Raw genomic sequence first — 13,901 nt, forward strand, 5'->3', positions numbered from 1 at the left:
ATATGCAATTACAAACCAGGTGTGTGTCTTGACCATATTACTTTGGATATATAGCCAAAGCTATCTCTACATGTTTCTTCATCAGCAAAATGAGCAAACTGGATTAGATTATTTTCTTTTCAGTTTTAAATTTCTGAGAATGCAGTATTTTGCTTAACCCAGGTGTGCTTTGAGACCAATCATGGATGATTGAACTTTCTCCTAAAAACAATTTCTTCTGTAATATAAACTGAGCATAATATCTGACACATAGCAAGCATTTGATCAATCAATATTTGTGAATGAATAAATAGTTTCTAGGGTCACACTGAGATTTCTGAAACATTAATGGCCTGAATTTAGTGATTAGTTCAACTTTATATTTATATATATAAATCAAATACATGTGTTCATCCTTGTCAATACTAATGATTTCTAGCTAACTGTAATCTTTCATATTGGGGTCTTGAATCCAAGTAACTAAACAAAAGCCATTAGCTACCTACCCTGACTCGAATGACATTGATCTCCACAGCCATCAAGAGCCCATTCAAGATGACCATCATGCCTGTGATGCAGAAACGCAGGTTTGATATGTCCAAGCCAGACTGACAGTACTTAACCAATTTTATTGTTTTTGTAATAAAGGCCATTACCCAATACAGGAACAGGGCTGAAAAGAAAAAGACAAAAAGAGAAAGATGCAATCTTTTCTTAAACATCACTAGCATTTGAATGTAATTATGATGCTTTTTAATAACAAAGGCAATTTTATGTACTATATTTCCACATGGTTTTACTTGGTAAGAAAACAACATATATGATTTAGTGTACTTCTGGAGTTTTGAGTTGAAGGAGTAATAACTTGAAAATGTTGAGTGCGTCCATCCTGACCGTACATGATAGATGGGAGGATGTAAAGAGATATATAATAGGATAAACTAGACTCTTCAAAATGTACGTGTAAGTCTATAAATTTTAAAAAGTAGCTTTATCTTCTGGTCCTGTTTTCAAAGAGCCTTAATTATATGAATAATTCACAAGTTGGTGTCTGTATAACCTACTTCATAGGTGTGTTGCAAACCCAAGGATATGTCTCATGGTATTACCCTGGAATTATCATGGAATTCATGTATCTATGTAATTGAGTTTCTGCCTTACAGATTCTTATTCAAGTAGTAAGTGACTTTCCTTAGTCAAATGGTTTAAAACACCACGCACTTTCACATAGCACAAAGAACAATGGTCTTATAGAGCGAACTGAAACGTCAAGTACTAGGACCAGAAAGGCAAGGATTACACTGCCGCAAAACTACAATCAGCATTTTGCAGCCAATATGAGATAGAAGCAGAGACTTTCCTAGAAATATTTTGGCAAGGATACAATCTACTTTGAACTTTGAATAAATGTAAGTACAAATGAATATGGTCTAAGAAAGAAGAAATCTAAGACACACATAAGACAATCCAGCTTGGACAACATTTATCAGAACCAGAAAAGTTGAGTGATCACTTCATTAGTGAAAAATACTGATCATTGGCATATGAACTCAATGTGTATCTTGTTTTAGCTTAAATGTAGAGTCAGAATGGATTCATTAAAAAAAAAAACAGACCAAATTATATGCTATCTAAAGAGATTCACCTTAAGTATTAGAGTAGCTTAAAAGTAAGTAGATGGGAAAGATATACAATGAAAACAATTAAGCGTAAGAAATTTGGAGTTGCTATATTAATGTCAAACAAAGCCGACTTCAAGACAATTATTATCAGAAATAAAAAAGACTTTTAATAATAATAAAAGTGTCCAGTTTTTAGAAAGATACATTAAAAAATAGACATATGACCAATGAAGATTTAGAAGATGTATTAGAACACTATCAAATACCTCATACTATTTGATATTTATAAAACTATTTGAGATTTGGTACTCTAAAAATACTTCTAACATCTTCAGATTGTACCTTCGTATTAACTGAATATGGTACTGGTATAGATTATATGTTTAGCCAGAAAACAAAGAGAAATGAATTTGAAATAACAGAAATCATATAGAGTACGTTTTCTGACCACAATAAAGTTAAATTTAAAAAATCAAGAACAGTCAGACTATTGATTTTCTATCGCTACTTAACAAACTATAACAAACTGAGCAGCTTAAAACTGCACACATTTATTAACTCATGGTTTCTAGGATTCAGGACTTTGAGCCAGGGTCAATTGGGTTCTCTATTCCAGGTTCTCACGAGGCTGGGTTCTCTGCTCCAGGTTCTCACCAGGTTCTAGGTATTGACTGGGTCTGCTGGCTCAATAAAGACTCTACTGATTGGAGACCTTCCTCCATGCCACAGTCTAGTGGCTAGAACCCAGGCACAGGTCCTACTCACACTCAAGGCAAGAGAGTCATAAAGGGCAGGAACATCAGACACAGAGATAAGGAGGTAACCTTTGATCTTTTCATGCAGTAAGATATCTAAAAGCTTCAAAATATTTGGAAATTAAACAACACATTACTAATAATCCACATGTTAAAGAAGAAATCACTAAAGAGGTCAGATAATATTAAAATACATTAACTATAATAAAAATACTACATATTTAAAATTCAAGAAGTACAACTAAAATAAGACTCAGAGGAAAATTTACAGCTTTAGATATTTATTTTACAGTATAAGGTTCAAAACTGCATAGCTACCTTTAAAGCTCAGGAAAGAATAAAAAAGGATCCCCCAAAAAAGATGAAAACAATAGAGATGAGTAGAAAGCAATAAAATAGAAAAATGAACAATTGATAAAATGGACAAAATTGATAATGCCATTCTTTGAAAAGACTAATAAAATTGATAAGTCCCTAGCTAGACAGTTCAAGAAAAGAAGAACACAAAAACCAATACTAGGAATGAAAGAGGCACTATCCCTGCATACCCTACATACTTTAAAAGGAGAATCAGGAAATATCATGAATAACATTATGACAATATATCCAAAAATTTACATGAAATGGAAAATTACTTAAAAATGTACCTTATCAAAACTAACATAAAAAGAAGTAGATACTCTGAAAATTCTATATAGTCACTAAGGAAATTAGACAATATATTTACTAAATTATAATAAAATTTAGACCTAAAATTTTACTAGATATAAAAAAGTATTAGACATAACACTCTGTCTAATACAGAAATAAATTTATAATTTTAAATCCTCCCTTAGCCCAAATTCCAGGTCCAGATGACTTTACTAGTGATTTCTATTCAACATTTAAGAAAGAGATAAAATTAACCTTATACAAAGTCTTTCAGAAAAATAGAGAGAAAACACTTTCCAACTCATTTATGAAGCCAGTTTAATGCAGCCTGTATAAGCCTGAAGAAAGGAATTACAAGAAAATAACTGATGAATATCCTTCATTACATAGATGTAAAAAGCCTTAACAAATGAAATCTAGTGATATCAAGCATGCATAATATATTATGACTATGTGTGGTTCTTCTCAGAAATGCATTGTTACTTTATTTGAAAAACAGATCAATGCAATTTAGCATACTAACAGAAATACAATTTTCCTAATGGATACAGGAAAAAAACTTTAATAAAATTCAACACCCATTCAAGACTTTAATAACACCCTGAGTAAGCTTTAAATAAAAGAAAACTTACTAGGCAAATAAAGGTCTGCTATGAAAAACCTATAACTAACATTACAATTAATTATGAAAGACTGACCATTTTCCCCTAAAATCAGGAACCAGAGAGGATTTCAGTCTTATGTCTATTTGGCATTTTACTGGACATCTTAGCTACAGCAATAAGACAAGCAAAAAGAAAAAGAAAAAAGAAGGCATAAAGAAGGTTGAAAGAAAATAAGTGTCTCTCTTTGCAGATGGCATGTTTGCTTATACAGAAAATCTTAGGAAACCTACAAAGCAATAACTAAAAGTAATAAGTGAATTTCTAAGGCTGCAAGATACAAAGTCAACATACAAAATCATTTTATTTTATTTTATTTTTTATTTGTAGGTATATATTTATGGGTTACATGAAATGATTTGATACAGGTATGCAATGAGTAATAATCACATCAGAGTAAATATGGCATTGATCACCTCAAGCATTTATCCTTTCTGTTAAAAATAATCCAATTGTACTCTTTAATTCTTTTTTAAATGTACAATTAAATTATTATTGACTGTAGCCATCCTGTTGTGCTATCAAATACTAGGTCTTATTCATTTTTCCTAATTTTTGTACCCATTAAACATCCCCATTTGCCTCTCCCAGCACCCCACGACCCTTCCCAGCCTCTGGTATCCATCATTCTACTCTCTATCTCCATGAGTTCAATTGTTTTTATTTTTTTGCTCCCACAAATAAGCGAGAATATGAGATGTCTGTCTTTCTGTGCCTGTCTTATTTCACTTAAACAATGACCTCAAGTTCCATCCATGTGGTTGCAAATGACAGGATCTTATTCTTATTTTATGGCTAAATAGGACTCCATTGTGGTACATGTATCACAGTTTCTTTATCCATTCATCTGTTTATGGACACTTAGGTTGCTTCAAAATCTTAGCTATTGTGAACAGTGTTGCAATAAACATGGGAGTGCAGATGTCTGTTCGATATACTGATTTCCTTTCTTTTGGGTATAGACCTAGGAGTGGGGTTGCTGAATTGTATGGTAGCTCAACTTTTTGTTTTTTAAGGAACCTACAAACTGTTCTTCATAGTGGTTGTACTAATTTACATTTCCACCAATAGTGTACAAGGGTTTCCTTTTCTCCTCATTCTTGCCAGCATTACTTATTGCCTGACTTTTGTATACAAGCCATTTTAACTGGAGTGAGATGATATCTCATTGTAGTTTTGATAAGCATTTCTCCGATGATCAGTGATATTGAGCACCTTTTAATACACGTTTGCCATTCGTGTGTCTTCTTTTGACAAATGTCTATTCAGATCTTTTGCCCCTTTTTTATTGGATTATTAGTTATTTTTTTCCTATAGAGTTGTTTGAGCTCCTTATATATTCTGCTCATTAATCCCTTGTCAGACAGGCAGTTTGCAAATATTTTCTCCCATTCTGTAGATTGTGTCTTCACTTTGTTGACTTTTTCCTCTGCTGTGCAGAAGCTTTTTAACTTGATGTGATCCCATTTGTTCATTATTGCTCTGGTTGCCTGTGCTTGAGGGGTGTTGCTCAAGAAATCTTTGCCCAGTCCAATGTCCTAGAGAGTTTCCCAATATTTTCGTGTAGTAGTTTCACAGTTTAAGATTTTAGATTTAAGTCTTTAATCCATTTTGATTTTGTTTTTGTACATGGTGAGAGACAAGGGTCTAGTTTTGTTCTTCTGCATATGGATATCCAGTTTTCCCAGAACCATTTATTGAAGTGACTGTCCTTTCCTCAGTGTATGTTCTTGGCCCTTTTTAAAAGATAACTTCACTATAGATGTATGGATTTATCTCTGGATTCTATATTCTGTTCCACTTATCTATGTGTCTGTTTTTATGCCAGTACCATGCCATTTTGATTACTACAGCTTTGTAGTATGAAATCAGGTAATGTGATTCCTCTGGTTTTGTACTATTTGCTTAGGATAGCTTTGACTATTCTAGGTCTTTTATGGCTGCCTATAAATTTTAGAATTGTTTTTTCTATTTCTGTGAAAAATGTCATTGGTATTTTGATAGGGATTGCATTAAATCTGTAGATTGCTTTGAGTAGTAAGGGCATTTTAACAATGCTTATTTTTCCAGTCCATGAATATGGAATATCTTTCCATTTATTTGTATCTTCTTCAATTTCATGCACCAGTGTTTGATAGTTTTTGTTACAGAGATCTTTCACTTCTTTGGTTAATTCCTAGGTATTTTATAATATTTATTGATTTGCAAATAATATTTATTGATTTGCAAATGTTGAACCATGCTTGCATTCTAGGGATAAATCCCACTTGATCATGATGAATGATCTTTTTAATGTGTTGTTGAATTTGATTTGCTGGTATTTTGTTGAGAATTTTTGCATCAATACTTAATTGCATTTCACATAATGGAAGAAACAATTGAAAATGAAATATGAAATAAATTTCACATACAATAAAAGGAAAGCAAAGAAAAATACTTGAAGTAAAGTTAACAAGACATGAAAGACCTCTACACTGAAAGCTACAAAACACTGCAAGGGGAAACAAAAGACCTAAATAAATGAAGACTGGATTGTGAAACCCAATAGTGTGAAGATGCCAATTATCTCCTGAATTGTTTTATAAATTCAATGCAATCCCCATAATGGTCCTACCAAGCTTTTTTTTTTTCTTTTTTTTTTTTTTTTGGAGAAATTGTAAACCTGATTCTAAACTGTATATAGAAACTCAAAAGAACTAGAATAGCCAAAGCAAACTTCGGAGGAAAACAAAGAAAATGTTGTGTGACTTATAATTTATGACTTCAAGAACTCCAAAGCAAGAGAAAATGTTAGTCGCATAAAAATCTATGAATACATCAAAGAAACAGAAAATAGAGCCAAAATAGATTAAATTTAAATAGTCATTTGATTTATTTTTTTTTACATAAGTGCCAATGCAATCTCTTGAGAAACAGAAAGTCTATCCCACAAATGGTGCTGGAACACATTGATATCCACTTGGAAAAAAAAAAAAAAGAACTTTGACACCTATCTTACACCATATACACAATTAATTTAGAAAGAATCGTAGTCCTAAAAATAAAAATGGAAACCATAAAGCATCTAAAAGCAAACAGGAGAATAAGAGGGAAACATATTTAGAGGGAAGACAAAGATGTCTTAAGACACAGAAAGCAGTAACTAAGGACTAGAAGAAATGATAAATTATACTACATCGAAATTTAAAATCTTCTGCTCATTAAAAGACCCTATTAAATAAATGAATATGTATGCCACAGACTAGAAGGAAAACATTATCAAAACATGTAACTGATGACATACTAATATCTAGTATGCACAAAATATTCCTACAACGCAATAATAAAAGTGCAACCCAATGAAACATGGGCAAAAGATATGAATAGCCACATCCCAAAGATTAAAAATGGCCAATAAACTCATCAAAGAGTGTTCAACATAATTAGCAATCAGATAAATGCAAATTAAAACCGCAATGTATTACCAGTACACACCCACTAGCATGACTAAATTAGACCAAGATCACCAAATGATGAACATGTGGAACTGGAACTCTTACACCTTGTTAGTGAGTATAAAAAATGATACAAACATTTTGGGAAAAGATGTCAGTTTCTTAAAATATGAACATTTACCCACTTATTGTATGACCCAGAGATTTCACTCTTAGGTATTTACCTAGGAGAAATAAATGCATATAGCCACAAAATACTTAAGAATGTTGATAGCAGCTTTTACTCTCATGATGGCTAAAACCTGGAAATAGTACAGATGTCTATTAACAAGGGATTGAAAAAACTATGATATAGTTATACAATGAAATGCAACAATAAGAAAATATTGATCTATGCTACATTACGGATGAGCATCAAAAAATCATGCTTAGAAAAAGAAGCCTTACTTAAAAGTCTATACTGTGTCATTCAATTTACATGAAGTTCTAGAACAGGCAAACCTAATCCATGGTGGGGGTAAAAATCAGAACAGATATTGCTTCTGTAAAGGTGAAATTGAGTATAAGAAAATTTGCATGGATGATAGTTATGTCATGATAGTGTTATATAGGTACATGCATTTAGCAAATTAAGATCGCTGTGTTTCATGTATATAAATTTTGTCTCACAAAAAGATACGCATGAAGCGTTCAGAGGTAAAGTATACTAATGTCTACAACTTACCTTAAAATGCATCAAAACTAAGATGGAGAGAGGTATGAATAGAAGGATGAAAAGATGTAGATATGTGATAAAACAAACAGAAAAAATGTAATTTGAAGAATTCAGATGTTGGGTAAGTGGGAATTCACATGATTCTTTCAACTTTCTGTACATTTGGTGATTTTCATAATGAAATGTTGAGACAAAATTACTATCTTTGTGGTCTTAAAATGAGTAACTTTCCTAGGTCCAAATTTTTCTCTGTTAAAATAACAAGAAATATTATATTTTATCTCCATGTCCTTCCAGCAATATGATCAAATTGTGCTGTCTTGCACCTAAATAACAATAATAGGCCTCTTCTGATTGCATTTCCATCAAAACATTATTAATATCTAAATTCCTTTCTAGTTATAACCTTTCTTTTTACCATCAACTTTTCAAAAATAGATATTTAGCTTATTAAATTCTCAATTTCACATATTTTTTTGCAGCTACTTGTTGGAAATTTCTTTCTCTTTTTTTGGCATTTTCTGCAATAATGTCTGCCTCTCATTTTGCACAAAAGACCTTTCTATTAAGATAATTCAAAATGTGACAGCCTTTTAAATTAATATTTAACCCTCTCTACCTTTTTTATTAGATTGCCTTTAACAATCATATAATGTGACACAACATATAATTAAATAATCAATATCTTTCATGCATCCATTTTAAATTTTCATGTCCTCTGGACAAATGAATAAAATACTGTGTGTGTGTTTTCAATATTTCTTCTCCTAATTTCTATATCATTAGCCAACATCATTTTCATTATACAACAATCAAATAAAATCAGAAACAGTAAGCATCATTCACACAAACACATAATTCGAACTACAATTTCAGGAGGTTCATAGCCCATCTGTGATTCTTGTTCCATACCTTTATCTCTTTAAGAAAGAAAGTATACTCCAAGGAATACAGTGATGGGTCAGAGTATTGAACATAACTCATATAGATGCGTTATATAATTTTGACCCAAGGCAAAAATAAAATTAGGAATATTTTAGAGAGCCTCTGATTTCCACAGAACAAGGAAGCAAGAGAGGCTAATAAAACAATTTTAGTCACAATGCAGGTGCGAAAGGCCGTGATGTAATGGCAGCTGCTCCTCAGGACAGCATACTTTTCATTATGCTAGAAACATACTCTGCTACATAGTAATTCTAGTAAAATGTGGCATTCCCACAGCATCAGTGAAAGGCTTGAACCTTGGGAAAATGTCCTTGGACTCCAAGCCAGAGACAGAAACACCTGGAACTAGAGGAGATGACTTGTTCACAGGGCAGCATGGTGCCGCAGCTCCTCACAAGAGCTCTGATTCTTAAAATACAACTTCTGCAAGCCAGAAGGCCAGCCATATTTCCTCCACTTTCTTCCCCCACCCCCCTACACCACAGAGAGCATTTATTGCAGAAGAGATGACCTGGGGGTAAGGAATTTTCACAGCCTAGAGCAACTCAGCTTATCTTCAACCCCACATTTACTGGGCAGCTACAGGAGAATTAATCACTGGTTTTCCCATACTTTCTACTCCCCACACACTCTGATACTATTTACCCTGAGGAAAAAGAAAAATAACCCTTTGGGGGGAAAAACAAATATCTCTTTAAGGAGAAACAACAAAAGTGATCATACTTACCTAAAAGTAATTTAGGAAAATTTGATGTTTCGATATTATGATAATACACTATCGATGTTGTAGTGGCAACGAATCCCATCACGGCTGGCATAAAGAGGTGGAGGTGCCTTGATTCCCGCCGCCTAGAAAGAGCAGTACGTCAACGCCTAAAGCTGATGGTTCCAGATAATTTCTTATTTTTTTTCAAATTTTTTCATAAGAACTCTATCTTAGCAATAAGATGTTTAAAATACAGAATGCAATAGTAGTTTCCAAGATAATACATAAGGGAAGAATATATTGAAAGACATCGTTCTGCGGAAACGATTTATCTTAACATGAATGGCCAAGTAAACAACAAAACTATACCTTAAAATGCTTACAAAGAAACAAATGTATAGCTACTCCTATACTGTAGGGCAGAGCTGCTGAAATAATTTAAGAACTAAAGCAAGTGAAAACAGTTAACTCAATCTGAACTCCAATGTGTGTGAAAAGTGTGTTTGTTCCTTTGACAGCACTCCCAACTTGATAGTCTTCAGTGATTTCTCCATTCTCATTAATTCATTCAATGCATCTGTGATTGCTGGTCCAGCTACTTGGATGCAACCATGAAGAAAACAAGACGTAACATCTGTAGTAAAAAAATCTAGTATATTGAGGATACCAATAGCAAATAGGAAATTACAACACAGCTGAAGGGACAGTGTGAGAACATAGAGTGCACGTCTGGGACAAAGAAAGCTTTGAGAAGGAAGTGACTTCTAAACTGACACTTCAAGAATCAGGAATGGCTACTCAGAGGAAGAAGAGAGGAAGACAGTTCCAGGCAGAGGGGCCAATGTGTTCAAGGGTATTGCAAGCAATTCAGCATGACTGCAAGGAGAATAGACTTCACTCTGAAGGCAACAGAGATCACCAGGTGACCCAGTGATTCCAGACCAGATGTGCATAGTAGACAGCCCTCAACTCCATTGGCATTAATAATGCCACAGAGTGAAACATTTTGCTTTTCTCAAATTACTTGAAGATATTAGTACATAAATGGTATAGAGAAGAGAGTGACTAGTTCAAGATTGGGGGATAGGAGAACACTGAGAAAGTCATTCCAGGAGAGGTATGGTTGACAATGGGAACTGAAATATGGAAAGGAATCCACTGGTCAGGAAAAGGGTCATTTTAAAAAAGGAACAGAATGTGCAAATACATAGAAGCATGAAACAATACAACATGTTCAAAATTCCAAGTAGTTTAATATTCTTGAAACAGAAAGTTTAAGATAGAATGTATCATGGAAGGCTTTGTATGCCATGGTAAGAGGCTGGCATCTCAACCCGTGGAAAACTGAAACACTTGAATAGGTAAGCGGTATGATCAGATTTGTTTTAAACGGATAGCTCTAGCAGTCATGTGGATAAGGAAGTTGGTTGGTAATACACGAGTTTGTAGTGGAGGGAGAGAAATGGAAGGAAGAAAAGCAGTTAGGAAACTATGGGTATAAAGTCAGGTGACAGATGATAAAGGTCTGACTTCAGCTTTGGCAGCAGTAACATGAAGGAAATAATACATTTGGAAAAGACTGATTGGTGAAATAGACAGGAGTTTACTAACATTAGGGTATGAGGGTGATGGCAATAGAGAAGTAGAAGATAATTCCTAGGGTGTCTGTGTGGATGGCCGTGTGACCAAATAAGATTTTAAGAGGATGAGCAGATTGGAAAGAGGAGCTAATAAGTTTCGCCAGACATTTATGGATTGTGAAGGTGTCCAATAAGCATGCAAATGGAATTTAAGTGTCTGTAGACATTTGGAACATGGTCAGTGATATAATTTGGAATCATTAATATAGACATGGTAATAAAAATGTGAAAGTAGTATGGTAGCGCTTAAAAACCACCTACCACCTCCTGTAAATAGATCAAAATCATCAGAGGAAAAAATAGATAACTATTTTGTCAGTACAGAAATTAGGAAATGCTTCTAATATTCTCTGACTATTGAATCAAAGAAAGAATCTGGCTGGACGTGGTGGCTTACGCTTGCAATCCCTGCATTTAGCAAGGCCGAGGTGGGCGGATCACTCGAGGCCGGGAGTTTGAAACCAGCCTGGGCAACATGGTGAAACTCCATCTCTATTAAAAATACAAAAATTAGCCATGTGTGGTGCCACATGCCTGTGACCCCAGCTACTTGGGGGACTGAGGCAGGAGGATCGCTTGGACCTGGGAGGCAGACATTGCAGTGAACCGAGATCACGCGGCTGCACTCCAGCCTGGGCAACAGAGCAAGACTCTGTCTCAAAAAAAGAAGCAAAGGAAAGGAAGGGGAGGGGAGGGGAGGGGAGAGGATGGAAGGGGGAAAGGAAGGAAGGAAGGAAGGAAGGGAGGGTGGGAGGGAAGGAAGGAAGGAAGGAAGGAAGGGAAGAAAAAGAGAAAGAAAGAAAGAAAAAGAAAAAGAGAGAAAGAAAAGAGGAAGGGAGGGAGGGAGGAAGGAAGGAAAGAAGAAAGAAAAAAAGAAAAGAAAAGAAGGGAGGGAGGAAGAAAGGAAGGAAGGAAGGAAGGAAACCAAAATTCACTTACTAATATTATTTAGGAAATTTTAAAGTGAGCACACTCCCTATCCAATCCTGTAAAATGTGGTCACAACCATACTCACAAGAAAGTTTATAACCTTAAACAGGTTTGATAAGAAATAATTATAATAAATAAATTAAAAGTCAATTTAAGATTTTAGAAAAAGAATGACAAACCATTATTAAAGGAAGCAATAACAAAGATTTAGTAAAGATAATAGCAGCTACAATTAAGTTTTGTACTTATGGTGGCACTCCTTTATTAGGGATTTAATATGTCTTTTAACCATGCTAGTATTTTTATAGGATTGCTGTTATTTTGTTAGTTCTCTATTTACAAAGCTGCGTAGGTTTTGAATGGTCTTCAAATGCTAATTTTTTCCCTTAAGCTATGTTCTTTTTAGAGTATGATTTGCACACCTCGATGGCTTGGTAGGAGCGCTTATGTCCCATTACAGCAGAAAGTCTTTAGTCAGAACATTGGAAAGAAATTTTTAAAGTATTATATTGCAAAGGTGAAAGAAATCATTTTGAAAGACAGAAAATGATAAAAATAAAAACCTAATAAAACACAGTAATAGTGAAGATTTTAATACACTGCTTTTAGAATTTTGACAGATTAAATAGTATAAAAACAAGCAACATATAGAACTTCAGTAATACAATCAGTAAACGCAATAAAATTTTGTCTCCTACAAAGTGTATATATTACTTTCTAATACTAATTAAATATTTATAAAATAATGAAGTATTTGACTATAATAAAAATGCTAATAAACCACAAAGAGTAATCATTTTACAAACTACATGCTTTAATAATAAACCAATCAAATTAAACAAAAGAGCAAACTAAAAAGGATTCCTAAACCTAGGAGAGTAAACCGGAATCACAGGTAGAAATAAAAAGGAGAACAAAAACTAATGCAGAACAAAGGATGTTCCAAAAGAAAAATTACTAGCTTTAAATGCTTCTATTACTAAAAAAAAAATCAAATATTCTATTAGGAAAGACTTTGCACTGTTTTTCTAATTGTAATGAGCATTTGTCAGATATTAAGTAAATAATTCATAAAGGTTTTATTTAAAAAAAGAAAGATGGAGTGATCAGCAGTGTCATAAGTCATAATTATGATAAAGATAAAAGAGTCTCCATTAGTTGTCATTAATAATCATGAAGATTCTTACGGAAGCAGTTTCCAGAATAAGATGGGGCAAGAGAAAAAGCAAAACTAAATGTTTGGATTTAGAAGTAACTAGAAGAGTGTGTTATCATTCCTCTTTCTTCATTATAAAATTTTAGATATTGTCAATTGGTTTTGTACTGGGTATTAATTTTATATATACATATTTTTTTATTATACTTTAAGTTCTAGGGTACATGTGCACAACATGCAGTTTTGTTACATATGTATACATGTGCCATGTTGGTGTGCTGCACCTATTAACTCGTCATTTACATTAGGTATATCTCCTAATGCTATCCCTCCCCCCTCCCCCTACCTCATGACAGGCCCCAGTGTGTGATATTCCCCTTCCTGTGTCCAAGTGTTCTCATTGTTCAAGTCCCACCTATGAGTGAGAACATGCGGTGTTTGGTTGTCTTTGCAATAGTTTGCTGAGAATGATGTTTCCAGCTTCATCCATGTCCCTACAAAGGACATGAACTCATCCTTTTTTATGGCTGCATAGTATTCCATGGTGTATATGTGCCACATTTTCTTAATCCAGATAAGTGACAGAAAGTTTTGAAAATTATCTTTATTCTACAGGTTATTGATGTCATATTTCTATATAATATGGGACCATAGAATTCTTCTGATATGTATTGTAAAGTTAGGATAATTATAAAAGTGTAACACT

The 13,901-nt window shown here is 33.7% G+C and overlaps 1 protein-coding gene across 8 annotated transcripts in view; it reads right to left on the bottom strand.

Moving 5' to 3' along the window:
- The window catches only part of ABCC9 (ATP binding cassette subfamily C member 9), a 144,038-nt gene that overhangs the window by 119,063 nt on the left and 11,074 nt on the right, over positions 1-13,901 (bottom strand). For 7 of the 8 annotated variants that reach the window (XM_005253288.5, XM_005253290.5, XM_005253289.5 and 4 more), the window contains 2 exons: positions 9,491-9,612; positions 486-652 (listed from right to left, as the gene is read on the bottom strand). In XM_005253288.5, the coding sequence (XP_005253345.1) occupies positions 486-652; positions 9,491-9,612 (289 nt within the window). The remainder of the gene's footprint in view (positions 1-485; positions 653-9,490; positions 9,613-13,901) is intronic. The other variant, NM_001377274.1, reaches the window with a different exon arrangement.

This window comes from Homo sapiens, chromosome 12 (genome assembly GCF_000001405.40).
Source record: "Homo sapiens chromosome 12, GRCh38.p14 Primary Assembly".
Classification (NCBI taxonomy): Eukaryota; Metazoa; Chordata; class Mammalia; order Primates; family Hominidae; genus Homo; species Homo sapiens.